Consider the following 27,889-nt stretch of genomic DNA (forward strand, 5'->3'; position numbering starts at 1 on the left):
AGCCCTGCCTCCCTGACCACCCTGGTGGAGGGCAGAAGGGCTGGAGATTGAGTTAATCACTGAGGCCAATGATGTAATCCATCATACCTATGTAATGAAGCCTCCATAACAGTTCAAATGGACAGGGTTCGGAAGAGCTTCCAGACAGCTGAACATGTGGAGGTTCCTGGAGGGTGGTGCATGCAGGGAGGGCATGGAAGCTCTGCTCCCCTCCCCACAGGCCTCGCTCCGTGCATCTTTTCCACGAATGCTGTTCATCTGCATTCTTCGTAACAGCCTGTATAATAAACTGGTAAACATAACTAAAGTGTTTCCGGAGTTCTATGAACTGCTCTAGCAAATTAATTGAACCCAAGGAGGGGGTTGTGGAAACCCCAATTCATAGCTGGCCAGAGGCACAGGTTGTGATTGGCATCTAAAGTGGGAGGGCATCTAAAGTCTTGCGATACTGACCTGTGGGGTCTGAGGCTATCTCCAGGTAGACAGTGTCAGAATTGAGTTAGAGGACACCCAGCTGATGTCCACTGCAGAACAGCTTGCTTGGTTGTCAGTGAGGCAAGACCTCACACAGCAGTAACACAGACACCTATTCTGTGACCCGGTAAATCCACTCTCAGGTATGAGAGTGGATGAGAAATGAAACCACACATTCACACAAAGATTCATGCAAGCAGCTTTATACATGGTAGACTGAAACAGTAAGCAACCCAAATGCCCATCATCAGGATAATGAATAAACACATCGTGGTATATCCATGCAATAGAATATTTCTCATCAGGACAAATGGACTAATGAGACAGACATGTAGGGCCATGGACAAATCTCAAAAAGGTGTAATGAATAAAAGAAACCAGACTAAAAACATCTCCTACCATATGGTTCCATTTATACGGAACTCAAGAATAGACAAATATAGTCTGTGGTGACAGAACTCAAAAGAATGCGGAAACTTTCAGGGGTGACAGAAGTACCTATATCTTGATCCAGGTGGTCACATAGGTCTACACATGTGAGCAGCCCACTTAAGCTTTGTGCATTTTACTGTATGTGATTTATATATAAAGTATTATGAAAATTTAAAAATTAATATAGGTGGTCCCCTTTCAGGTTACAATGGTCCCTTTCTGTGAATGCTTACCTGTCCCAGGCCTGGCTCCCCAGGTCTGCCCTCTGGTTCCTGGGTGTGTAGGAGGATTGACTGTTTCTTCCTGGATGCTGGACCACCCAAGGTGGGGACACCTGTCACCCAGTCCCAGCTGGTCCTGATGGCCTGCTCTGTGAGGCCTGCAGCAGGTGAACATGGGGCATTCTTTCTCTCCACTGTACAGGGACCCATGATTCCCTTATTGATTCAGCTGTTCCTCGGTCCTCATTGGCAAAGAATGGTATCATGTATTATTGTCTTAATTGGCATTTCTTGGATTAGTAGTGATAGTAGTGAGGCTGAGCTTCTAAAATATGGTTACTGGACATCTTTATCTATTTATTCAGAGCCTGACTTTATTTATTTATTTATTTATTTATTTATTTATTTATTTTTTGAGACAAGTTCTCACTCTGTTGCTCAGGCTGGAGTGCAGTGGTACATTCAGGGCTCACTGCAGCCTCAACCTCCCCAGCTCACTCAAGCAATCCTCCCACCTCAGCCTCCCAAGTAGCTGAAACTGCAGGTGCACACCACCACATCTGGGTAATTTTTTTCTATTTTTGTAGAGATAGGGTGTCACTATGCTGCCCGGGCTGGTCTCAAACTCCTGGACTCAAGCAATCCTCCTGCCTTGACCTCCCAAAGTGCTGGGATTATAGGTGACAGCCACCATGCCTGGCCAGAGCCTGACATTTTCTAGGGCCTGGTTCCACATAATGGTTAACAGCGAAAAAGAAAGGAAAGATGTATTTTTGCCAAGCAAGCATTTCTGAAGGATATATATATTTTTTGCAACAAGATTCTGTTCTTCTTTCTTCTGTGCCTTTCCCAGGAGGGAGTATCTTTTTGAGGGGTAATTTTTTGTGACAACAACGACAGTAACAATAAAAAATGGAACCATCTGCTCATCCAGACTCAGTAAAATTGGCTTGAATGCCTCAAATTTGACAGCCCACAGCACTCCAAAGCTTTCCTCACAATCCTGTGCATTCTCTGGGGCAGAGGGTTCCATGGCCCCCTCTGCAGGTGTTCACCCCCTCCTTCCACGTTCACTCTACCCTGCACACACACCCACACACACAAGCACCAAATATTTGTGAGTTTAGCAGACTGAAGATGGGCTGGGGTGGTGAGGAGACAGGAGGGCCTAGCAGGCTCACCTGATTCAAACCTATCTTCATCCTGCAGGCTCTTCTCTCTTCCCTCTCCCTCCTTTTCTTTTCTTTTTTTTTTTTTTTTTTTGAGACGGGGTCTTGCTCTGTGGCCCAGGTTGGAGTGCAATGGTGCTATCTCGGCTCACTGCAACCTCTGCCTCCCGGGTTCAAGTGATTCTTCTACCTCAGCCTCCTGAGTAGCTGGGATTACAGGTGTGCACCACCACACCCAGCTAATTTTTGTATTTTTAGTGGAGACAGGGTTTCGCCAGGTTGGCCAAGCTGGTCTCGAACTCCTGACCTCAGGTGATCTGCCTGACTTGGGCTCCCAAAGTGCTGGAATTACAGGCATGAGCTACCACGCCCAGCCCCCTCTCCCTCCTTGCTTCTTATTTTTCTCCCTCTTGAGAGCCTAACAAATTCCTTTCCCATGTCATGCCAGGAAGTTTTGCCATTATCTTTTAAGACCCTGGCCTTAGAATCTCAAATACCTTATCAATGTATTTTTTCCAAAGATAGTTCCCATTCTAAGAACAATTGAATGCCAGCTACTTAGAAGCACATTTAAAAATGTGACTCCACCATCATCATAATAGAATTGCAGTGTTTTTCTGCTTCTGAACAGATTTCAGGCTACTTCTCTCAACCTTCCAAGCTGGTGAACAGCACCACACTACTCTGACAGTGCAAACAGCGCTCTGAGGACTTGGAGCCAAGAAGGGTAAACTGAGTTCAGACCATGGAAAAACTTCAATGCCAGGGGAAGGATTTGGATTTCATTATTCTACTCAGTGATCCATCAAAGCTTCCAGAGTAGGTCTATGACTTCTGGAATGCAAGGAGAGTGACTGGAGAGGGCTAGGCAGAGGATGATGAGGGCTCACCTTAAAGCCAAGACAGGTCTGGGAGACTCTAAGGAACATCCACAAACTTTAATAATGGGGAAGGAGTGACAGAGGAGAGATGAGATGTCTCCAGGCTGGAGCCTGAGTATCTGAAGATGAAGTCAACTTTCCTTCCTGGTCTGGAATAGTCTGTAATTTTCTAGGCACCATACTTAACACCGGCCACTACTGCTGAGATAGGACTGGCCGAGGCTGAGGAAAGATCTGAAAAAAATCATTAAGTGTAGCTTTTACTGGACACACACACAAGGCACCCTATAACAAGGCACCCTATAACAGTGGCACTATTATGGTAAGTGTCTCAGCCAAGTTCCCCTGAAGGGTTTTCAGCCTCCCACCCTATTGGGCTTTTTGTATTTCCAAATAGAATCCTTCTAGGCAGATGCATGTATGGAGCTCTTTGTATCAAATAACAACAATGGCCAGTATTTATTGAACACTGTGCCAAGCACTGTCCAAGAGCTTTTCATCCTATAATTTATATACACACGTGTGGGTGTGTATACACACACACACACACACATAACCTTTTATATTCCTCACAACCCCCTGAGGTAGGTATTTTTTTACAGATAAGAAATTGAGGCAGAGAAGTTAAGTAACTTGCCCAAGGTCACGCAGCTAAGAAGTGATGGAGCCAGTATCACAACTGAAGCGCTGATGGGTTTATTTTCTGGAAAAAAACAAACTAGGAGACAGCAGAACAGGCCTGTGGCCCCAGCTTAACTGCAGACCAATACAAGCTTGAGCAGGCTTTTAAATATATACTCTTTCATGAGGATATTTTTGGGAGCAATAGATACGCTCACGTCTCGATTAAGATGGTGGTTTCATGGGTATATACATATATCGAAACTGATCAAGCAGTACACTTTAAATAGGTGCAATTCATTGTGTGTCAGCTGTTTTTATAAACTTTTTTTTTAAAAAAACTGATAGCTATTATATGATGGAATTAAAATATTTGTAATATTTCTACAGTAACTCTCAATTATCTTATGAGACTCCATTACGACATTCAAGCATATAAAATCCATGGTTCATTTCTGAATCTAAGGACTGCTTTGAGGATTTTGCTATGCCTCAGAGGAGCAAAATGTCTCCAAATTGAAACTGAGAGCTACAATGACTCAAGAAATGTTTTATAATCTGGCATTACTGAAAATAGAACACAAAGTATGCAAAGATGTTGTCTGTAACAACATAGAGATATTGCTGAAATAAAGTTAAAAAAATAAAATTTATGAAATAAATATACAACAAAAATTTTAAAGTACACCCCCCACCTTTGCTGCCCTAAGGATAAAATCCCACTCTGCCCTGAAGGCCATGCCCCCTCTCCATCACTGTTCCAGAAACACTGGTTCCTTTCTGGTTCTTCACACCTTGCGGCCTTCACACGTGCTGTTGCCTGTGCCTAGAACTCCCTAACCCGAGTCCTGCACGCCTGGCTCCTTCTCAACCTCCAGGATTCATGCGAAGGTCATCTCCTCCTTCTGACCACCCAGAATTCAAAAGGACACTTTTCCTTTGCTCCTACAGTTAGAGCTTTATTTCTAGATTTTTTCTTGTCCTCTGTGTGGGGGAGACAGGATCTGTTCCCCGGTGTGCTCCAAAGCCTCTTGCAACACTGGACACAAAAGGCACTTTACATATCTGTTGGAAGGATGGAGGGATGTCTTCTCTCTGGACTCTGGGACCTCAAAAGATGGGTGCCCTGATGAGAAAACCTCAGAATTTTGTCTCTAAAGCCCAAATATGTGGCAGGATGACCACTCCCTCACTTTCTTAGTTTTTTTCTCCCCAAACAGAGGCAGCCCCAACCTCTGGTGACAGCAACTCTGGGTAAAGGCCAAGTTCCAGGAAGAAGTGACTTCTCAGAGACCAGGCCCTAACCCACAGGAATGTAGCCAGGGGCTCAGGTTTTATTGTTCAAGCAAGGTGGCAACGGTTAACTACTTCAGTGTGAGTTCTTAGAAAATTCTATGGGTTGGAATGCTAGCAAAATCAGCCCGTGCTAGGGGTCACCCAAAGTGGTTGGAGTCAGATGTTGAGGTGCAGCTAGTCTCTGAGCTCCTCGAGGACAGGCATAACCTTAATCTAGTGCTGTATTGTTGGTTCCCAGCACAGAGCCAGACACATAGCTGCTGTGCACAAATCCTGTTGTGATGAAATCAATAAATTTCATCGTGAGAACACGTGCTTTCTGCACATGGTAAGCCCTTTACACATTGTCTCCATTCATCTGTACAATAATTCTGTGAAGCAGATGTTCTTATCCCCATTTTGCAAAGGAGGAAATGGATGTTCAGAGAAAGCTAATTTGCCCAGGGTCACACAGCCAGTGAGGGGCAAGGCCTCTCCAAGTGGAAATCCCTCCCAATATTAAAACAATGGCCTGAAATGACAACTGCTGTTTCGGGGGCCAATAAATTAATGTCCTCCCCTTGAAGTACTGGTCCCCCCCATTCCCAGCCTCTCTGCCACCCAGGCACTGTCTCCTCTACCCCTCGCTGCTCTGGCCTTGCATGATTTTGGTCCTCTCTGCTTTCTGGGTTCTCCTCTTGCTTCTCCGATGGCTGTTGCTCCTTCCACTTCCTAAAGACAGGCGCTCCCCAACGCTTTTCCTTGGAGCTCTCTTTCTCCTTCTATGCCCTCTCTCTGGGCTTGCCTCTACAAACCGGCATGCCCAGCTTGGGCCTCTCCCAGGAGGTCCAGATCCACCCAGCCCCCGGGGTCTGCTGCTAGTTACACCTCTCAGAACGCAGGTCCTGCTCTGAAACCTTCAATGGCTCCCCAGGGCCCAGGAGAGCAGCAAACTGCTCCTCAAGGCATTCAAGGCTCTAGCACACCTGTCCCTGCTTCCCTTCCAATTCAGAGCCTTCATCCATCTGTGCTCTCTGCCTTTATCCTGCTGTCCGTTCAGCATGGCTGCCCTCCCTTTCCCTGCTGCTAAAGGGAGCTCTAACTTCCTGGTCTATGGCACATGTCCCTCGTCCATGAAGTCCTTCCTGACCCCCCTCCCCAGGTAGGTGTGGCTTCTCCCTCTCAGAAGACTCCTTGAAGACCCCATCCCAGCATTCCTTGGGTAAAACCTACTTCCGTGCTTGCTTTGACTCTCCTTCTACACTGGGTCAGAAAGGAAGCCCCACACTGCATCAAGGGACAATGGCTGTTCTGTATAATGTGGCTTCTTTGTCTAAAAGTCTCCCCAACTGTAGAATGAGATGGTAGAACTGGATCAGCATTTCCCAAATTTCTGTCATTCAAGTATCACCACTGTTGCTTTATTCTTGTACTACAGGTACTATCATACACTTACTATTTATCTACTCTTTTTTAAAAGAATATAAAAAGGAAACCATACATTGCTTACTGTGAGTGGAAAGTCAGTGTCACTTTTAATAAAAGTTGCAGTAATGAAAAGGTCATCATGAAAATAAACACATAACTGACAAAATAAGAAATGTCTGTGTAATGCCTCCAATCCTCCCAAGCATAATTCTGGGAAATAATCTACTAGATTGTCAGAGGCTTTGTCTAAGATAAACAAAGCTGAACAGTAGTTAAAATTGTAAGGACAGAATTTAATCAGTCATAACTATTGCAATAGGGAAAACAATCTAGTATGAACTGAGCTCAATATCGATTTGTACGAAAAGTAATTGGGCATTTTGAAAAGAACATGAGGGAATAGGGAGAAGGACAAGCAGCAGTTTAACAGAATCAGGGAAGTGAAAAATGACAAAGGGTTGGTCAGTGTAAGTGACATTAGGCCAGCTGTGTCTGCTAGCTGCCAATTGCCAAAGTTAGGATGCCGTTCTCCCAAAGAGACTGGGAGACAGAAGCTCTATCCTCAGGTGTTGGATGAAACAAAAACACAGTAAATATTTTGGCAGCCTTGAGTTTTCTCAGGCAGGCACTTTAAGAGGGGGTAGTGGGGCCAGGGTCACCTTAGGTAGGGGCCCCCAACTCCTAGGCTGCGGACCAGTACTGGTCTGTGGCCTGTCAGGAACCAAGCAGTGGCATTAGATTCTCACAGGAGCTTGAAATCTGCTGTGAACTGTGCATGCGGGGGATCTAGGTTGCATGCTCCTTATAAGAATCTAACGCCTGATGATCTAAGGTGGAACAGTTTCATCCTCCATTTTTTTTTCTTTTTTGAGATAGAGTCTTTCTCTGTTGCCCAGGCTGGCATGCAGTAGCACAGTCTCAGCTCACTGCAACCTCTGCCTCCCGGGTTTAAGTGATTCTCCTATTTCAGCCTCCTGAGTAGCTGGGATTACAGGCACGTGCCACCACACCTGGCTAATTTTTGTATTTTTAGTAGAGACGGGGTTTCACCATGTTGGCCAGGCTGGTCTCAAACTCTTGAGCTCAAGTGATCTGCCCACTTCGACCTCCCAAAGTGCTGGGATTACAGGCCTGAGCCACCACACCTGGCCAAAAATATCTGATTTTACTAGACAATCCTATTGTTATTTATTTTTTATTTTTTGAGACAGAGTCTTGCTCTGTCACCCAGGCTGGAGTGCAGTGGTGTGATCTCAGCTCACTGCAGCCTCTGCCTCCCGGGTTCAAGCGATTCTTGTGCCTCAGCCTCCTGAGTAGCTGGGATTACAGGCGAGCACCACCATCCCTGGCTAATTTTTGTATTTTTAGTAGAGATGGAGTTTCACCAAGTTGGCCAGACTGGTCTTGAACTCGTGGCCTCAAGTGATCTGCCCACCTCGGCGTCCCAAAGTGCTGGGATTACAGGTGTGAGCCACCACGCCAGGCCTTCATCATAGAATTATTGCCCACCCCCACCACCCTGTCCGTGACAAAATCGTCTTCCATGAAACTGGTCTCTGGTGCCAAAAAGCCTGGGAACTGGTGATCTTAAGGATGTGACGTTGAATTATTAGAAACTGTGTTGCTGTCTGTTCAGTCTTTATAGGCCAAGACTGAAGCCTAGTTGAGAAGAGGGCTCATAGGAGCCTGGCTAAGTTCCATCAAGAAGAGAATCACTATCAGCTTCTATACCTTAGCCCCTGCCCGCACCCCCCCACCCCCAAAAAGCATCAATATTGTGACTATATACCAGGTGTTTCACAAAGTTATGAAGTAGTTATAATTAATATCCTCATTAAAAGGTTAAGAAAACTGAGGCTCAGAAAGGTTAAGTTGTCTGCCCAAGGTTCCACAGCCAGAAGTAGCAGTGCTGGGATTTGAACCTAGGTCTAAGTCTCACTGGTTCCAGAATTCACTGTCGTCCAAAGTGCATAGCTCCATTCTATGTTTCTAGGCTCTGTCTTTAAGCCATCCCTCTCCTGCACATGCCCATTTTACGAATGCCTATGGTCCCGAGTACTAAATCTGGACAAGTATGTGACCCTGGGCAGTGGATCTCGGCTCTGGCTGTACCACCTGGGGAGCTTGAAAAACACTGATGCCTGGGCCTCACCCCTAGAAGCTCTAAGGTAACAGGTGTGGAGTGCAACCCAGAGGGATTTTTAGAAGATTCCAGGTGATCTCTGTCAGGAGCCAGGTTTGAGACCCACTGCGCTAGGAGTCTTCACAGTTATCATCCCATTTGATGCTTATAAGAGCCCTGTGAGAAAGGCAGGCAAGTGGCAATCCCCATGTCCTGCTGACGAAGAAAAGTGTTGAGATGCTAAGGCTCAGACAGTAAGATCTGGATAGAAAACAAAGTTTCTGACCTCTAGCTCTGAGTTCTCTGCCTAAAGGTTCTGCTCTACAAGGCATAATTTAAAAAAAAAAAAAGCAACATCTCCAAGAAGAGCAGCTTAATTTCTCTTGTACAGTACAAGTCACTTCTCACCCCCATGGAACACATGGAGGAGAGGTAGTACCTGCTTCAGCCACAGTACCCAAAACAAGGCCAGGGCATCCCAGGGAGGTGAGCAGTGACCCCCCTTTCTGACAAACTGTTCCCCTGGCAGAAGCCAAGGGAGGGCTAGGGGACAGGGGCCTGCAATTCTGTGATAGCGTTGGGGCCTGCTTTCCACGCCCACTTTTCTGCAACGGTTTGTGATCTGGACTCCCTGAGCACCCGTTGGGAGCTGGGGGCAGCCTAGGGAAGTCGGGACCTACTCCTGTACCCTTCCAAGGCAAGCATCCTGGGCCACCTAGCCGTTTCAGGGTCCAGGCCATGGGACCCCCTGTGCATAACACTGGGCCCAACAGCCTGGTCGGGCCCTGATGTTTGCTCACTGATGATGTGCAGAGGAGAGGGGGCAGTTTCCCACTTCTGGGAGAAGAGAGGGCACTGTCGGCCCTTGGCAGACTTGGGGGGCGTCACTGCCCATATGTGGGGGACGTCACTGCTCACCTTGAGGGACTTAAGGGTTCCCAGTGGTGGGCATTCGAGAGGATACTGTCCACATCTGGGGCCAGCAAAGGACCCCTGTACCTCAACTGGAAGGCCAGAGGTTCACCTCAGCCTTGCAGTCATGAGGCAGCAGAGGGCCCCTACCCACTCCAACCCCCTAAAAAATGCAACAATCCCAGGCACACCTTAGGCCGCAGCCTGGCTGTGACCGAACAGACGGCGGCCACACCCCCGGGGAGAGGCCGGGTGGGGACCGCAGGGCGCAGCTCTCCCAGTCCCACCCTTCGGCGCAGGGCTCCGGCCAACACAGCCCTCCAGGCCGCCTACTCTCCAGCCAGCCGGCTCCACGGACCCACGGAAGGGCAAGGGGGCGGCCTCGGGGCGGCGGGACAGTTGTCGGAGGGCGCCCTCCAGGCCCAAGCCGCCTTCTCCGGCCCCCGCCATGGCCCGGGGCGGCAGTCAGAGCTGGAGCTCCGGGGAATCAGACGGGCAGCCAAAGGAGCAGACGCCCGAGAAGCCCAGGTGAGCGGCTGGGCCGCGCCGGACGGGCGTCGGGGGTCTGGGCCGCGAACCCGCCGCGGGGCCGCCGGAACCTCCGCGAAGGTTCTAGGCCTTTGTGGCGTCACCGTCTCCTTGCGGAAGCTTCCGCCGGCGCCGAATAAAACCCGCCGCGGAGGAGCCGGTGGCTCTAGTGCGGTGGAGCCAGGCGTGGAAGTCGGTCCGGCGCGGGGCGGGGGGCGGGCGGGAGCTACAAGCGGCGGCGGCGGCGGCGACCGTGACCGTGACGCGCGAGCGGGCGGCGGGGGCGCGGGCCAGGGGCGCGGGCCAGGGTGCCGGCAGGGGCGTCCGGGGCGCTCTGACCGGCCTCGCCCGCCCCCCCCGCAGACACAAGATGGTGAAGGAGACCCAGTACTATGACATCCTGGGCGTGAAGCCCAGCGCGTCCCCGGAGGAGATCAAGAAGGCCTATCGGAAGCTGGCGCTCAAGTACCACCCGGACAAGAACCCGGATGAGGGCGAGAAGGTGCGGGGCGGCGCGGGGCACGGGCCGGGCTCCCGAGGGGCCAAGGGTTATTAAGCCAGGAGCATTGAAGGCGACGGGAAACCTGAGCCGCGTTTGTTGGGGAGGCTGTCGCCAGGCGCCTCGGGGCCAGGCCGGGCAGAGGTGGCGGGAGACCCTGGGCGCCGTGCGGCGCGGTCGGTGGAGGGCGCTTCGCCCGCGGAGGAGGCATGTGGTGCGGCACTTGGGTCCCTCGCGAGTCCCTGCCGAGCCCATTCATTCCTCCATTCGCTCCACAAGTGTTTGGGTAGCCCCTGCCGTGCGCGCCGGACTAGTTCTCATAGGGTGTGTTGGTTCCCTGTGGGAGAGGCGGCCTGGGAATCGGGAAACTGAGGCACACACAAACAGTTGTTTACTTGCTGGGAACGACTGGCTCATATTCTCTGTTGATGCATAAACCCTAGGGATGAGTGTCTTTAATCTGAGCTGGTACCTTGGACAAACGCCGTGCCTCTCTTGAGAATGACTAGCTGGATTTGTTCTGTGCACCTACTGCCTACCTGATAAAAGCGTCAGATAGTGAATAATCCCATTTTCTTTATTAAACAGGGACACGGACATCTGCAACCTGACATCAGCTTGTACTCATATTCTGGGTTTTCGGTGACAAGTGACACACAGTTGATCATAAGTACCAATCATAGACTGAAAATGCTCTGCATTTTAGAGACAGAAGTTAAAAGCTTTTCCATCCTGTTTACAGAAAGTTTGCTTTTTATCTCTAAAGAGGCTCATGACCCACCTGAATAGGTGAATTGAAGGATGAGGCATTGCAAGGAAAGGCTGCTAACCCTCCCGTTCCTCCTTTCACTTCTTGCCATTTTCTTACAAAACTTTGGTTGTTCCGCATGGGTCTTGAGAGGTGGGGCCGTTATAGTAGCTGATAGCAGTGTCACTTGGGCCACGTTTGAAACCACACCAATCACCCATGTAGCATTTAAGACCTGTGGAAACGACGCTGGAATCAAAATACCTGTCTGTGTTAGTTGTTCCAAGCTGGAGAAAGCTACTTCAGGACGGTTGGCTGAATGGCAACAGTGATGGAATATTTATATTTAGCCACATGTGCTGAATGTGGCTGTCACAAGTTTAAAATGCTTTCCTGTAAGACCATTTGTCTGTTACTCACTTGCGTTCTTTCTCATCTATATTTAGATGGCTTACTGTAGCTTTTAAAGGCACTGGCGTTTTACATGGTGCTGGTGATTCATCCACCTGCTCCCTACATTCATTGTGGTCCGCTTCTGACAGTCTCCTTTAAGGAGAGCTTGTAGGCTTCTAATTTCACATTTCAGCAAGCTGGCTAAAGACATGTGGGAAAGCCTGACCCTGGATTCAGGTCAAATCTCAGCACTCACAAGAGTAAGTTCATGCCTCTGTGTATACAGTTAGAGCTGAATATGCTTTTGTTCTGAAGCTTTTATTTTTAAAAAATTAGACTTGACCTGTACTACATATGTGTAGGTTTCACCCTGTCTATACCTGTCTGGGCAGGTTGTTTGGTTTGTTTTAAACTAATATTTATTCATAGCCAGGCACTGAGTTAGTGTCACATAAATGAGGCCCTTGGCAGTGAGGTCTGGCAGGCCCATCAGCTTGGAGGGAAGGGTTCTGTGATGTGCCCATTGCCAGGAATACTTTCCTTCCTCTACCTTCATGGAAGGGGATAAAACTCTTTAGTTCTCAGCTAAAACATCTTCCAGGAGGCTGCCTCTGCCTCATAGACTGAACCACAGGCCCAACGTGCATCCTACTTTAATGGTGATTACTTGTTTGATTAACTGTATTCCTTTAATGGTGATTACTTGTTTGATAACTGTATTACCTGCCATAATGTAAGCAGGGCAGTGACTGTGCCCCCATGGCCACTTATGGGGTGAGTATCTAGCTGTGCAGGGTAGGTGCTAAAATGTTTGTTAGCTGGCTGAGTAAATGCACTTTAAAAAATTGTGTGTAGGAGGAGAGGGCCCTATAAAGGCACAAATTGGAAGGGAAATTGCAGTGAAAGGGATATTGGGAGGAGAGTGGCAATTTAGATCGGAAATCAAAGAGGATGAGGAGACTGGGGACACAATTTATAGAAACGGCTGTAGAGTTCCCCAGAGAGAGCTCATTCATTCATTCATTCATTCATTCAACAAATACCTCCTCTTCTGGTCCCCACTGTGTGCTGGGTGCACTGTGCAGGCCTTTTGTGAGTGTGTATGTGAGTGTGTGTGTGAGTGTGTATGTGAGTGTGTGAGTGTGTGAGTGTGTGTGTGAGTGTGTATGTGAGTGTGTATGTGTGTGTAGTTCTTTTCCACTTTATCACAGGTAGAACCTTTAAATTTTTTTTTCCTCCTAAGTTCGTCACTGTATTATTAACGTCTCTTCAAAAATAGACTACACCAGTTCTTTACCCCTTGCTGGGAAAACTGAGAAGGCCGTTGAAATGTTGGTCTTTGTTTTTTGCCCTGTTGTCCCCTGTTGCTAAGCATTGGGGCACCTTGTGTTTTTTGGGCACTCTGTATGGAGTCTGTACTTCTCTGCGGGTGTTTTTTTTTTGTTTTTTGTTTTTTTTGCAAGATGCATGGGTGGTAGGTAGTGGGTCACCAAGATAGTCCCTTTTAGGGGCAATGATGTGGGGTATATTCTTGGCTATTACCCTGTTGAGATGAGTTTGGTCTTTTGGTCAATTTCATTGTAACTTTTAGTTTGAATAATAGACTTTCAAGTTCAAAAATCAGAACATAGCAAACCATGCAGAAAATTTTAGAACACAGAGGGAAACCTACCAAGTACACATTATCCTAACCACTCTGTGCTTCTTTCCAAGCTTTCCCCAGTATGATCATACATGGCCATCCTGATACATAGACATTTTGTTTTCTTGTTTCCACTTAATATTTTATTATAAGTACTTTTCCCAAGTTGTTACGTAGTCTTCAAAGCCATTTTCCCCTCAGCTGTATAGTAATCCTGTTAAGGTTCTGTGGCAAATGATCATGGTCTGAAAGGCAAGCTCATCATAGCACTCGTCTCCCACTGGGAGAAGGGGGTCCGGGCCGGGAGCTGAATTAGACTTTGGAGTGCTGGGACCCTAGAGGATGGACTCCCTACTGGTAGTTGGAACCCCCATCCCATGTGAGATCTGGCCTCTGACTGAATGTCCCAAGCAACTGGGTACTCCTTTTCCATTCTTAGATCATTCTATTAAGTCTAAATGACATGTGAGTATCCAGGGTATTTGGTGAGTGTTTCCGGTGGACGTTCCCATGAAGTTATTTACCTAGTCCTGACCTGCAGATAGACGCAGAAACTGTCTAGGGGCAGCCTGGCCTAGTTGCTTTCTGATCTGTACCAGGCACCCAATCCTTACACTCTACCTCATGTTTTCTGCTGAGGAAAGGGATAGTAGTGAATGGTACTTACTTCTTCGCAGAAATGGTATGAGAATTAACATATCAAAAGATCTAGCTGCCTTATATATGATGCTGATGTCTTTTTAAGACTTTTCTAAATTGTAGTTTTTTAGCTATTTATTAGCTATTATTATTGGTTACTTATTAGATTTCAATCAGGGATCTGTAGAACAAGGGAATTAATGCCTCAAATTCCCTTGTTCTCTCTCTCAAATTCCTTATTTCATGGCACTTTTTTTCCCTGAATATTTTTTGGAGCCAGCTGCATTATAGGATCTGTTTATCTATATATCCATATTTGTCTCTCCGACTAAACTGTAGCCTCTGGAGGGCCAAGATCCTACCTCATTTATTTATTTCTGAGTTCCCAGAATCGAGCCATTCATCTAACAGGTATTTACCAAGTGCCTTCTACATGCCAGGCATGGTTCCAGGCTCAGTTAGACAGCAGTGGACAAAACCCCCCATCTTCATGGAGCTTATGTTGCAGTGGGGGCTACAGCATAAGCAGTAGATGATGCAGCTTGTTAGAAGGTGGTTCATGATATGGAGAAATATGCAGCAGTTGTGGGGGCTGGGAGGGTCTGAGGTGGGTTTGCAGTGTTAAAGCTGGATCACCAGGAGGCATCCCTGAGAAGGTGGTCTGTGAGCTAAGGCTGGAAAGAGATGAGTCGGGAGGCCGCACCAGGCTGAGGTGCCTCTGAGGCCCAGACTGCAGAGTTGAGGAACAGCAGGGAGCCTGCTGAAACTGGCATAGAATTGGGGTGGGGACACACAGGAGGAGAGGAAAGTACAGGTGCCAAGTTGGGCTTATAGATGAAAGTTAGGACTGGCTTTTACTCCCAGTGACGTGGGCCACCTTGTAGAGGTTTGAGCAGAGGATCGACCCAATTAGTGGGCTCGAGTGGAGAACACACTGAAAGCTGGGGTGAGGAGGGCACATGGAAGACCACGGAGGAGGCCACTGCAGTGGTCCAGGCCTGAGATGGTGCCTTCAGCCAGAGTGGATGTGGTGTGGTAAGAAGGAACAGATCTTGCATGTTTTCGCATTCTGATTTTATTTTAAAAATGTCCATATACCTGCAGAAAACATGAGTGATACAATGAACACCTATGTATTCTTCACCTAGCTTTACCAGTTATAAATAAGTTGTCACATTTGTTTTATCTATTATTATTATTACTGTTGGCTAAAGATTTTGGGAGGAAGCTACCTATAGCATAACCTTTCAGCCCTAAGTGCTGCGTGTTTCTCTTGGGCACAAGGACATCCTTGTACATAACCATAGTAAAGTTATCAAATTCAAGAAGTTTAACATTGGGAACAAAGATTCACATTTCTCCCATTGTTCCAATAATGTCCTTTGTAGCCATTTTTTTTTTTCTCCCCTGTGCAGGATCTGATCCAGGATCACACATTGTATTCGTTTTTTTCTATCTTTTAATTTTAGAGTATCTCTCAATTTGGGTTTTCTGATTCTTTTCGTACAATTGGGTTCCAGTGGTAACTTTTTGGCAGGAATGCTACACATGGGATATTGTGTCTGTCTTAGGGTACTGGAGATGCAAATGTGAAGGTAGCATCAGTGGGATTTGTTGACAGGTGAGATTGGCATTGCCAATAACTGTGATATGGGGAAGACTATGGGTGGGGCGGGGCTTTTGGGGGAGGATCAGGAGTATAGGTTTGTATCCAATGTCTGGCACGTGGTTAGATGCTCACAGATGCCTGTAGTTGAATTTCATTCTAGTAAACTAGTGAAATGATTCCCATGAGGAGGTGAGCCAGTGGTAATGCCCAGAGTCCTGGCTCTATCTGGTTAGAGGTTCACCCCTGGCACTGTCTCATGGTATCCTAGCTGGTCTCGACTTCCTGTCTGGTGCAGCCGGATTAGTGAGAAACTTTCCCTCTCTACTGGCTTCTCTCCCTTATTCTTATCGTGTCCCTACCACCAGTCCCTTAATATGTTTGCCCTGTGTTTCCCACTTTACCAAAGGAGTAGGTAGACAGGCAAGTCAGATTCCAGGTAGAGGATGTATAGACTGGCTAGTTCAAGGGTTTGGGGGCAGAATACCTCTATTACTTTGTATGTTTATATGGCAGGTTTGCTTAACAAAACAACTGAAACTTCTCTAAAAATCTCTCTCTCTCTCTCTTTTAAAGTTTAAACTCATATCCCAGGCATATGAAGTGCTTTCAGATCCAAAGAAAAGGGATGTTTATGACCAAGGCGGAGAGCAGGCAATTAAAGAAGGAGGCTCAGGCAGCCCCAGCTTCTCTTCACCCATGGACATCTTTGACATGTTCTTTGGTGGTGGTGGACGGATGGCTAGAGAGAGAAGAGGTAAATGCTTTTAAAGAAACATAAATAAGTTGTATGGTTTCCACAATTATACGTGTTGTTGGAATCAGGATAGATCATGCTTTAAAAGGATATGATTGGGCCAGGCGCGGTGGTTCATGTCTGTAATTTCAGCACTTTGGGAGGCCAAGGTGGGAGAATTGTTTTAGGCCAGGATTTCAAGACCAACCGGGGCAACATAGTGATACTCCCCATCTCAAAAAAAATAAAAATAAAAAACTTAGCCAGGCATGGTGACTCATGCCTGTAGTCTCCGCTACTTCTTGAGATGCTGAGGCTGGAGGAAAACTTGAGCCCAGGAAGTCGAGGCTGCAGTGAGCTCTCCAGCCTGCACGGCAGGGTGAGACCCTGTCTCAAACAAACAAACAAACAAACAAAAAACCCCACCAGGTACAATTGCCATGTTTTGAGATCATTAACTTTAAAGAGTTTATCACTTGTCTAGTGCTCAGGCTACCTGGAAACTCTTGGTAAATTTAGTAATTATCTGACACCCTCCAATACCATATGAAGTAGCGAATGGAGTGGTGGATAGAAAAGAGGAAGGTGAAGTTCATCGTGCCTTCTTTTCCTCTGTTGTTGGGGTCAGGCACCAGAGTGTGCTGAGGGATGTAGATGACGCCGCCTGTGGTTGTCAGTGATCCTTTACCGAGAGTGTTCCTCTCTCCTCTTGCCCACCCTCCCTTTGTGGCCCTCCATGTTCCCTGACCTGGGCGTGGGCTGCAGGCTCTCTAATTCTAGGTGGGTACTCTTGCCATGTTCAGTATGGCCTCATTTCCCAGCCTGCTCAGGGGATTTTCTAGGCAACAAAATTCATCTCTTTATGTTTTGAAATCTTTATAAATGACCTGCCTTTCTTTTCAGAATGCATTATGAGTAGTAGCAACTTCATCCCCAGGAGGTGAATGAGGAACTTCTTAGCCCTTAGCTCAATGGCCCCAGGCCACTGTTTTGACTTTCTCGGGATTTGTTCTTCCTAATTTTTCTGCATCTCACCTCTGCCAGGCTACGGGCTGTCACCTCTGTTGTTAGTAGTTGCTAATAGACTAGTTCCCATTCCCCCTGTTTAGTTTACTGTTGTCAGGCTGCTTTGGATCTTGAAACCAGAAAGATAACCAAGCGTATTACAATTCTGGATAAAGTCAGAAGAAATGAGCTCTGCCTTGGGGTTTAAGAAGTGTGGCTTTGGTCAGTGAGAGGCCCCTAGATAAATGAAGCTGCACTTGTTATCACATTGTAATTGACTTTGAGCTTGAAAAAGCTTGGGTGTCAATTCTGTGAACATAGAGTGCTGAAAATCACAAAGTGTTTATTAGGGAAAAATCCTTCCTCTGTCCTTTGAGCATATCGCCTGCTCCTATAATTGATGGTGTGGACATGATAAAACCTTGGGTACTTTGGGAGGCCGAGGTGGGTGGATCACGAGGTCAGGAGATCGAGACCATCCTGGCTAACATGGTGAAACCCCGTCTCTACTAAAAAATACAAAAACTTAGGTGGGCGCGGTGGCAGGCGCCTGTAGTCCCAGCTACTCGGGAGGCTGAGGCAGGAGAATGGCGTGAACCCAGGAGGCGGAGCTTGCAGTGAGCCAAGATCGCACCACTGCACTCCAGCCTGGGGACAGAGCAAGACTCTGTCTCAAAAACAAAACAAAACAAAAAAAACCTTGGGTATTCTCTTGTCCAGCTCCCTCACTGTCTTGAGATGAAAAACTTCATGCCCTTAATTAAGTCATCTCTCAAAGTTGGCAGCCAGTAAACCAGGACAGCTCATCTCAGTGACTGCAGGAGCTCCACGGGCAGCAGGGAGGGTCTTGATGCTGTCAGTCTTGACAGGCTGGCAGGTGCTGGAGCACACCCCCACCCTGTGGACTGAACACCCACTGTCCTGAGTTGCAGAAGCAAGATTTTGGCAGAGGAAAGAATTCCCATTTGGCCACCGGTTACAGAAGGGCTCAGAAAGTAAAGTGCTTTATGCCCAAGGAAGTGAAAGATCCAGAGACTTTGGCTGCCAAACATTTATGTATAGAAAGGACTCCTTTCATGGGGAAACTTAACCAATTTCGTGGGTTAATACTGCCTTTGGTTTCTCAATTAGTACTCTCCTTGTCCTCAGATTTGTTCTCAGAAAATAAAGGTGGAAAGTCTTTTTGTTGGCCTCTATAAATGATTGAATAATTAGCTCATAGCTAGAGAGGGTATTAGCTCTTGTTATTGGCTGAGGGCCAGAAGGATGGGCTGGGGTAATAGAAGCATTGCTTCCTGCAGGGAAGGGAGCGCATGACCCAGCCACAGTCTTGAGTCTCTGGAGACTTCATACAACTAAGGGTCATATGGGTGGTATTTAATACAATGGTATATTTCATTCAACGCCACTAATTTTTTTTCTCCCTTGCTAAGGCAAGAATGTTGTACACCAGTTATCTGTAACTCTTGAAGATCTATATAATGGAGTCACGAAGAAATTGGCCCTCCAGAAAAATGTAATTTGTGAGAAATGTGAAGGTAAAAATTAATTTTTGACTGAACCGCACAGTTCTGATCCCTTAGATTCAGAAACAATGCTTGTTTTATAGTTCAGGGAAAATAAGTTATCTTTTTTCAAATGCAAGGGTCAAGCAGAGATTACAAACAGGTGGCCTGAGGGCCACACTTCTTTGCCTGAATGAATGTTTTCTTTGGGCTGCACCTCTATTTGACATGTTGACAATTATTTCTTTTTATGTTTTTGTATTTTTTATTTTTATTATACTCTAAGTTTTAGGGTGCATGTGCACAACGTGCAGGTTTGTTACATATGTATACAGACAATTATTTTTAAAAATTAAAAATCAGACACTTGACCTCATCTAGGGGTTGGCAGACTTTTTCTGTAAAGAGCCAGATTTTAGGCTTTCCAGGCCATGGAGTCTTTTGTAGCTAGTTCACTCTGCCGTCATAGTACATAAATGAATGGACATGCCTATGTTCCAGTAAAGCTTTATTTACAAAACCAAGCAGTCTGGCCATGGTTTCTTGACCCCTGACTTAAATGTATATATAATTATTGTAATTTTTAAAAAACCTGAGTTTTCAAGAAAAGCCATGTCTGGTGACCCCAGCCTCACATTGTCCCACAGAGAGAATTGGCTGAGCTGGGTAGCTGCCACTATTGACAGAGCTTGTGTTGTCTAGATCGCCACAGCCCCAGCCTCCTCATTCATCTGTGGGCCTATGCGAGTTCCACCTGGGGTGGAAGAAAACACATTTGATGAAGCTAAAGTAATAAATTTGGATTGGTGCAGCCAAAATCACAAACGTTTGAGGTCAGATGTTAACATCTGGATGTTGTCTGCTTGGCTGGACTCCTCCAGACTCTTCTGCATTGTTTTTTATTATTGTAAATAGAATTCTAAGCCCATTGTCCAATGTGAGGGTTCCCTACCCTTCTGCCATGGCGCCCAGCAGGGACACTGGTAAGGGAAGAGCATGGCCCTCATTCCTGCCTCCCCTGACCCTGCAGGTGTTGGTGGGAAGAAGGGATCGGTGGAGAAGTGCCCGCTGTGCAAGGGGCGGGGGATGCAGATCCACATCCAGCAGATCGGGCCGGGCATGGTACAGCAGATCCAGACCGTGTGCATCGAGTGCAAGGGCCAGGGTGAGCGCATCAACCCCAAGGACCGCTGCGAGAGCTGCAGCGGGGCCAAGGTGATCCGTGAGAAGAAGATTATCGAGGTACATGTTGAAAAAGGTGAGGCTGCGCAGAGCTGGTGCTCCACACGGGCTGGAAATGCTGTCTGGGTGCTAATCGTGAGATACACAGACTAGATGTCAGGGAAGTGAGCTGTATCACAACATGTATTGGGTGTGCCATGAATTCCTCTTGTTTCCCAGTCTTCTCTTCACCCTTCCTGGCCTTATTTCCATTCCATGTCACCTGCCAAAGTGTTCTTGCTGAGGTTTACTTCCTTGAGATCACAGACAGCCTCTTTATGAGGTTTTCTAACGCTCTGAAAGTCTTACCTGGCCTTGGTTTGGGTTAGTTGCCATCTCCTGACATTCTCAAGCCATTCCTCTAGAATCTTTCGGAGTGTCTTCCTGGTCGCTTCTGATGCTCATTGGCCATAAGGGCTTGTGTAAGTGTTTGTGGCTGCATGTTCCCTTTCTCCACATTTCCCCATGTGCTGCATCAGATTCCCCCAAATACAGCACCTTCTCCTGCTATTCATTTTGCCTGATGCCATCATTTTAAGGCCTTTTTCCATTTTAGCTGTCCTCCAAGTATTCCGATGATTCTGTGGCTTTCCAATCCAGTAAATATATCCTAGATCAGAGATGAGACCAAAAGTAAAAGAATCAACAGCCAAACCGACACAGGTGTTATTAAAGGACTTACTGTTTAAACATGCCTAAACCCTGTGCCTTGAGTGTGCAAGCTGACTTATTAGAAAAGGACAGGGCTGGCTGACCTGTCCCTATCAGTCCCAAGTCATGCACCCTGTGCCCCGGGAAGTGGGCGGTGACCCTATGCTGGTGGTGTGGCATCACAGGCCCTGGGCAGGGAGTGCTGTGTAAACCTGGGATGTAGAGCCGCATTCCCCCACTCCCTGTGCATGCTGGGCTTGGCCCCACATTATGCCAAGGGAAGCGGGACCTCTTCTGTCATTGGCCATCCTAGCCACCCCTCCCTGCCTTGTGCCTGCATGAGGTTGGGAGACTTGATGAATAAAGAATCCCTGAAGGACTCTGTTCCTTCTTCAAAAGCTTTAAGGAAGCATGGTTTGTATGAGAAATGGCTAATCAGAAAGGGATGATGTTTCATAGGTATGAAAGATGGGCAAAAGATACTATTTCATGGAGAAGGAGATCAGGAGCCTGAGCTGGAGCCTGGTGATGTCATAATTGTGCTTGATCAGAAGGATCATAGTGTCTTTCAGAGACGAGGCCATGACTTGATCATGAAAATGAAAATTCAGCTTTCTGAAGCTCTTTGTGGCTTCAAGAAGACGATAAAAACATTGGACAATCGAATTCTTGTTATTACATCCAAAGCAGGTAATGTTTCAAAGTGTGTTTCCATTGATGTTCTGTATGTTTGGCATAATAATTCTGGCAAGTTAGCCTGATTTTTTTATTGCTACATAATATTTTACATATTGATGGGGTGCATGTGATACTTTGTCCCTTGCATAAAATGGGTAATGATCAAGCCACGTGTTTAGGGCATCTGTCGCCTTGAGTATTTATTTCTTTGTGTTGGGAATAGTTCCCCTGATTTCACATTTAAGGTCAAATTCTGTTACACAAATTAGTATGATGTGATTTTCTCTAAATTTAAAACTGTCCCTAATAACTCTGGATAATTTATAAAGTTCTTGTATATTCTCCTAGAAAAAATATTCAGTTGGGGGGAAAGTCTCAAATAAGAATCTTGGGGCTCTGAATTTTAGATGAATTCTGGCAATTAAACTTAAGTTTTTAAAAATTTATTTTTGTATAAGAAAACAGCTTAATAGGTGGTGTTTTTCTATCAAGTGGTGATTTGTGCTGATTCATCCACATGTTCCTGTAGCCTCTGTTGTTCATTACATGAGTTACATTTTAAAATAGAATTTTCCTGTAAGAAAGACTTTGCCTATCAGTTTATCCTTGGAGGTTTCCACAGGAATTGCTGGTCTGCACACACCCATGGGAGCCAGAGGGAGATGCCTCTAGGCCGAAAGGGTTCCTGAGGCCTGAGCTCAGCCCCCAACCCCCCTGTAGACACCAGGGCACTCATCTCCCAGGAGGGTTGGTGTGTTCACTGTAGTTGAGGGTTTGTGTGGGCACCAGAGCACCTGCCTAGAAGGGGCTGAGAAGGGAGAGAGGCCAGGCCAGGGACCTTGACTTGAAGCTGCTTCTGAATAGCACTAAGGTCAGCTGTGCATAGCAAAGAATGTCTGGATGGGTGTGGTGGCGGCTACGCCACCGAAGCAGCCTGGGCCCCAGCACCAGCCATTTGCAGTGTTGCTGTAGTCCCCTCACTGGCCGTGGGGCTGGGATTACCTTTTTCTATGGCCATTTGAGGTTTGGTGCAAAAGGGGTAGGTTCAGGGCAGGCAGGGAGGTAACCACCAATAAGCCTGCCCCCAGGGCAGTGGCAGCTGGAGATAAGACTCAAGTCTGGTGGGGTGACTGAGGCCTGGACTTCTGTTCCCTCCGTGTCCCTCTCCCCCTTCCCCTCCTTGTCTGCTTTTCTCTTCCCAGCCTTGTGCTCTTTTTCTCTTTCCTCTCTTGGATTCTTTCAGGTTCCTCCTTTCCTGGGGATAGTAGGAAGCAGAATTATATATCCAAGCCTTGATCGGTTTGTGGAGTTTTAAAATAAACTTATTTGGAAACAATTTCAAGCTTACAAGAAGTTGTAAATATAAAAATAGTCCGAGGCCCATCCATATATGATTTGTCTGATGTTAACATTTTACCCCATTTGGTTTGTCATTTGATCTGTGTCTGTTTTTATTTATTTTTAAAATTTGTTCATTTATTTTTTGAGACAGGGGTCTTGCTCTGTCGCCCAGGCTGGAGTGCAGTGGCGTGATCTCAGCTCGCTGTAACCTCCACCTCAGCCTCCCGAGTAGCTGGGACAGCCACATGCCACCACGCCCATCTAATGTTTGTACTTTTTGTAGAGACGGGGTTTCGCCATGTTGCCCAGACTTGTGTGTGTTTTTATACATATACTTAATCCAGGATTGGGGGAAGCACTGCAGTATAATGCAAAATTTGCATGAAAATTTAAAATAAAACACCTTCCCTTAGGCTTCCATAGACCTCCCAAGGCACCCATTTCCTCCCTCAAGGAGGAGTTTGAGGATCACAGTTTACACGAAGCTCCAGACCACTGGTTGTGAGCTCAACACCCTGGCATTGTGTCCAAGATGCCCTTACGTGGTCACAGCCCAGATCCTAGCCCTCCTGAGCCGGGGCTGGGAAGCATCTGTGTGTAACTTCTTTGGGAAAGCCTGTCCTGTCCAGGGGTGGACTATTTGAGGTCCTGGGCCCCACCAAGAGCCAGCGTTCCTTGCTGTCTCAGCTGACCCCAGCCTAGGGAGCCGGGAGCCAAATGGAGTGAGGGTGGTGGAGAAAGAGCCCCAGAGGGAAGGAAGTGGCAAATCCCAAGAAATCCATTTCCTTCTTTATTATAAGGAAGGGTGGAGCATCCAGGAAACCTGCCGTTGGAGAGTTCTTTGGGGATTTGTTTGTCCTTTTTGTTTTGTTTTTGTTTTTACTTTGTTCTCTTTTGCACCCTCTCTTTTCTTCACCCCTCTTTTGTGTTGGCTTATTTCTTGTTTCTCCATTTTCTCTTCTCCCTCTTCTTCCTCTTTTCTGCTGTTGAAATGCCTTCTTCCCCAGAGCCTTTTAGCCTGTTATGAGCATTGCTGAGGATTGGATTAATTAAAAAAGTGATTTTGGAGCCACACAAGGGTGTGATGGCCCTGCCTGCAGGCAGGTATTTACCTGCCGGGAGAGCCTAACTCGTGGTCTTCTTCTCTTACCTGTAGTTTTCCATGCTTGGTCAGTTTCCCAGCTCCCAGCAAGCTAGAAGCAGAAGCATGGGGAGTAGGGCTTGAGAGCAGCAAGAAGCGACACCTGATAGGAATGGGGAGACAGAAAAACCAGTCATATGTAACTTAACGAAGGGGATATGTTCTGAGAGATGCATTGTTTGGCGATGTCGTTGTGGTGTGAACACCATAGAATGTACTCACACAGACCTAGATAGCATAGCCTGCTACACCCTAGGCTGTGTGGCATAGCCTGTTGCTCCTGGGCTAAAACCTGCACAGCAGGTTGCTGTACTGAATACTGTGGGCAGTTGTAGTACGATGCTGAGTATGTGAGTATCTGAACATAGGAAAGGTGCAGTAAAAGTTTGGTGTAATCTTTGCAACCATCTTCATAAATGTTGTTGACTGAAAGGTCACTATGCTGTGCATGACTGTATTTCTTTTTTTTTTGAGACGGAGTCTCGCTCTGTCGCCCAGGCTGGAGTGCAATGGCGTGATCTTGGCTCACTGTACACTCTGCTTCCCGGGTTCACGCCATTCTCCTGCCTCAGCCTCCCAAGTAGCTGGGATTACAGGCACACACCACCATTCCTGGCTAGTTTTTCTATTTTTTTTTTTTTTTTTTTTTTTTAGTAGAGACGGGGTTTCACTATGTTGATCAACCTGGTCTCGAACTCCTGACCTCGTGATCCGCCCGCCTCGGCCTCCCAAAGTGCTGGGATTACAGGCGTGAGCCACCGTGCCTGGCCATGACTGTATTTCAAAAAAAAAGAATAAACAGGAACACAAAAAGCCAGCAGCCTGGAGCAGTTTAGCTAAGGGGTTGCTGTCCTGCACAGTCAGTAGGCTCTGAAGGCCATGTCTGAACCACAGCCCTGCCTGCGAATGAATCTCAAGGATAGTCATTGGCTTACTTTATTTTTAAAACCTCCTCTTTAAAGATTTCCTCTTGAAGAGACAGCTCACTTTCTACATAGTCCCGTATGGAAGTGGACTGCTGAAGAAATTAGTGTTTCCATTCCCCTCCACCGTCTCCCCCATTTTTTCCGAACATTTCTTTCTGTCTTTGTCCATTTTCATCGCTGAGCTGAAGAGCATGCTTTATCAGAAACCCTTTTGTCCCTTTCCTTTTCCATGCTTAGAGGGAAGTTTCTGACTTGGGAGAACGCCTTAGAGTTCTTGGGGTCTGAACTCCTCTGATGCCTTCCAAAGTCACGTAGCTGTAAGACCCAGCGGGTGCCAGCCGGGAGGGTGACTCCAGCTCAGCAGCATGTATGGAAGTGCATTGTGACCATGAAGGAGTCTGCCAGTGGCCAAGCCACCTAGTGAGCTCCCTACCAAGGAACCTGGGTGTCACCTGCAGGTGGCCAAGAGCCAGTTTTTATGCCAGGCAGGGGACTGGTTGGACTCTATTGAGGCTTCTTCCTGTCTGTGGGGAGCACTCCTGTCCCCCTCGTGGTAGGGATACCTGTCACCCCACAAAGAGGCAGGGTGACAGGTGTTGGCCCCATTTTAGGCAGACTTGGGTGTCATGACTTCTAGTTCACTTGTTTTAAACCTACCTGTGATGGCAGCTGCACCATGCTGCCCTCTTGACACACTGCTGGAGCCCAGAGCACAGGCCAGAGTCTCAGCCTGAGCCCCTTCCCCAGGCAGTACCTGACAAGGATACCTGGGATTGGGGCCAGCTTTCCAGTCAGATGCCACGTTTCCTTTGCCCACTGCCACGGGGCACTAGGGCCTGCCGCAGGCTCTCCCATGAGGGAGAACGACCTCTGCAGGCCCCTCTGCCTTCCTCCTTCCTAATTGACCCTTTCTCTGGCAGGTGAGGTGATAAAGCACGGGGACCTGAGATGCGTGCGCGATGAAGGAATGCCCATCTACAAAGCACCCCTGGAAAAAGGGATTCTGATCATACAGTTTTTAGTAAGTTCACTATGTTTCATTGTCATGGACATATTATTAAATGCCTTAATTGGAAGGGGAAAAAACAGCCACCTTTCTTTCCCACCTCACCCTTTACAGGTAATCTTTCCTGAAAAACACTGGCTTTCTCTGGAAAAGCTTCCTCAGCTGGAAGCTTTACTCCCTCCTCGACAGAAAGTGAGGATTACAGATGACATGGATCAGGTGGAGCTGAAGGAGTTTTGTCCCAATGAGCAGAACTGGCGTCAGCACAGGGAGGCCTACGAGGAGGACGAAGACGGGCCCCAGGCTGGAGTGCAGTGCCAGACGGCATGACGTGGTGCGGGGCAGCGTGGCCCCACCGGACTAGCACATGATGAATGTAAAGTTGGCACAATGAAAATGACATCGCTTTAATGGCCTTGTGTTTGGGATGTCCTGTGTATGTGTTCAGCATTCTTAATTGCTGAGTGTCTTTTTGGCTTTTCTTTTGGTTGTAACTTAAGTTATAGCTTAATTTATATTTAAATGTTTTAAGTATAAATCACCTCTAGTCTGCATATGGAATCTGTTCATTTCTATTTTCAGGATATACTTTTGAGATGTCAGTGATTGCACCAATACTTTGTGCTTCTAGTGGCTTTGCCATAATTCAGTGTCACCAATAAGGCACAGCCCAGTTAGCAGCTTAGCCCCCCTAGCAAACCCCAAGGCACAAAGTGGGCATCCTGACTCATCTCTAGGTCTGTGGTTTCTCCCCTCTTCCCTTGGCAGAGTTATTGAGGGCATGATCTCAGGGCTGCTAAGATAACATTTCTGAGGATTCTAGATGATCCTCTTAAAGAATAAAAGCACATCCGTGGATCGGACATGGCTGCATGTGCCTGCTTAACAGGGCCAACTTAGTTCCTACTGTTCTGTGCCCTTCAGTGGATGGAACGTGAGTGTCTGATCATCTCTCTTGGAAGTTTTCTGAACCTTCCAAGCTCTGTGGTGAGGACAAACCAGTGTTTGAATCATATGCTGATAACTGTTTGCCTGTGACCCTCACACCTTGTTCTTCAGGGTTTTAATGATTTTCTGTTGACAACTTTTGCAATGCTTTCCCACCAAAGTGCTTACTTGTAAAGAAAACTAAATCCTTCTGTGTCCCCGGCAGCCTCAGTGCAGCAACAGAAGCCAAGGGAGAATGCTGCTGGTTTGGCCCATGGCACAGCCAGCTTCTCTGACCAGTAATCCGGGGTGACTTGAGGGTCTGCAAAGGCATAGAACTCCCCAGTGTTTTCCACCTCATTCTCCCAGATTGAGCTCCCTTCCAAAGGATCGTTCCTCTCATTGCACAGCCATATTACAAAGGGTTTCCTGCTCAAGTGATGTTTTGGTAAGAACTTCGCTGAGTTCCACTGTGGATTACAGTTTGTATGGACTACTACTGTAAATTATAGCTTGTTTGGAGGGATATTAGTCATTATTTTATTCATGACAGGTAGACTACAATTCGAACTTAGGGTTACCTCAGTCTTTAGCCATTACTGCTTATTTCTTTTCCCCAAGTCACAAAAAACTTGTAAGCTGCTGGGTTAAAGCAGAGGCCACCTGTCAGATCTACCCTACCCTTATTTGGTTACATGGCACCTGAGAGTTTCACTCAGACCAGGGATCTTCCTTAGGAGGGTCAAAGTGCAGATCAGACCATGCAGGTAAGGTGAACCAGCTGCACGGACCAGGTTCCCGCAAAACATTGCCAGCTAGTGAGGCATAATTTGCTCAAAGTATAGAAACAGCCCACCTGTGCCCACTTTGACCATTGGTGAGGATAGATATAAAATCACTTCTTCCAACGAAGCCTAGGTGAAAATCTATTTATAAATGGACCACAACTCTGGGGTGTCGTTTTTGTGCTGTGACTTCCTAATTATTGCTAAAGAACTACTGTTTAGTTGGTAATGGTGTAAAATTACATTCAGCTCCTTCTTGTCATATAAAAGGAATTTGGAGGGTGTCGCTTAAAATTTTATTCCACCTGTACATTTGTCACTTTAAAATTAAAATTGAGCTGGTATGAGAGATAAGTGGCTTTGCTTTTTCCTTTTTT

At 46.9% G+C, this 27,889-nt stretch overlaps 1 protein-coding gene and 2 long non-coding RNA genes across 22 annotated transcripts, besides 3 other annotated features; 1 reads left to right on the forward strand and 2 right to left on the reverse strand.

The window, feature by feature from the left end:
* Window positions 1–112: 112 nt before the first annotated feature.
* On the reverse strand, window positions 113–9,814 carry DNAJA4-DT (DNAJA4 divergent transcript). Of its 3 annotated transcripts, none has more exons than XR_001751621.1 (4): window positions 9,727–9,814; window positions 9,542–9,627; window positions 3,187–3,411; window positions 113–277 (listed from the first exon to the last, which is right to left on the reverse strand). It is a non-coding gene; the product is annotated as a DNAJA4 divergent transcript (long non-coding RNA). The 3 variants fall into 3 exon arrangements; XR_001751622.3 differs by adding an exon at window positions 6,307–6,422 and having other exon boundaries at window positions 9,542–9,732; XR_001751620.3 differs by having other exon boundaries at window positions 9,542–9,732.
* On the forward strand, window positions 9,815–27,861 carry DNAJA4 (DnaJ heat shock protein family (Hsp40) member A4). Of its 18 annotated transcripts, none has more exons than NR_170657.1 (9): window positions 9,815–10,063; window positions 10,427–10,565; window positions 16,167–16,347; window positions 18,765–18,869; window positions 19,867–20,094; window positions 20,658–20,770; window positions 21,168–21,398; window positions 25,715–25,815; window positions 25,915–27,861. NR_170657.1 is itself a non-coding variant. In XM_047432836.1 (9 exons), exons 1-9 carry the CDS (start codon window positions 9,984–9,986, stop codon window positions 26,128–26,130), a joined length of 1,335 nt encoding a protein of 444 aa, XP_047288792.1. In that variant the 5' UTR covers window positions 9,815–9,983; the 3' UTR covers window positions 26,131–27,861. The 18 variants fall into 18 exon arrangements, 11 of the variants coding, with proteins under 11 accessions (XP_047288792.1, NP_061072.3, XP_047288790.1 ...); XM_047432836.1 differs by lacking the exon at window positions 20,658–20,770 and adding an exon at window positions 11,151–11,204; NM_001387384.1 differs by lacking the exons at window positions 9,815–10,063; window positions 20,658–20,770 and adding exons at window positions 10,232–10,255; window positions 11,151–11,204.
* Window positions 10,086–10,165: a silencer, noted in NCBI's record as "silent region_6708". NCBI's record gives its function as "represses an Ori minimal core promoter by ATAC-STARR-seq in GM12878 lymphoblastoid cells {active_cell/tissue: GM12878}" and the evidence as "EXISTENCE:reporter gene assay evidence [ECO:0000049][PMID:35858748]".
* Window positions 10,476–10,765: a silencer, noted in NCBI's record as "silent region_6709". NCBI's record gives its function as "represses an Ori minimal core promoter by ATAC-STARR-seq in GM12878 lymphoblastoid cells {active_cell/tissue: GM12878}" and the evidence as "EXISTENCE:reporter gene assay evidence [ECO:0000049][PMID:35858748]".
* LOC105370910 (uncharacterized) lies at window positions 19,328–24,470 on the reverse strand. The gene is made up of 2 exons (XR_932500.3): window positions 23,878–24,470; window positions 19,328–20,667 (listed from the first exon to the last, which is right to left on the reverse strand). It is a non-coding gene; the product is annotated as an uncharacterized LOC105370910 (long non-coding RNA).
* Window positions 22,297–22,591: an enhancer, noted in NCBI's record as "tiled region #12554; K562 Activating DNase matched - State 5:Enh". NCBI's record gives its function as "activates a minimal TATA promoter and a strong SV40 promoter by Sharpr-MPRA in K562 cells {active_cell/tissue: K562}" and the evidence as "EXISTENCE:reporter gene assay evidence [ECO:0000049][PMID:27701403]".
* Window positions 27,862–27,889: the final 28 nt, after the last annotated feature.

The sequence above is a fragment of the Homo sapiens genome, chromosome 15 (assembly GCF_000001405.40).
Source record: "Homo sapiens chromosome 15, GRCh38.p14 Primary Assembly".
NCBI lineage: Eukaryota > Metazoa > Chordata > Mammalia > Primates > Hominidae > Homo > Homo sapiens.

What these genes read in the sequence shown, in the direction of transcription:
- DNAJA4 (XM_047432836.1), top strand. Translation starts at nt 9,984, where the DNA reads ATGGCCCGGGGCGGCAGTCAGAGCTGGAGCTCCGGGGAATCAGACGGG. An exon ending in AATTTGTGAGAAATGTGAAG is followed by an intron (nt 18,870 to 19,866) that starts GTAAAAATTAAT and finishes CTGACCCTGCAG; the next exon opens with GTGTTGGTGGGAAGAAGGGA. An exon ending in TGTTATTACATCCAAAGCAG is followed by an intron (nt 21,399 to 25,714) that starts GTAATGTTTCAA and finishes TTTCTCTGGCAG; the next exon opens with GTGAGGTGATAAAGCACGGG.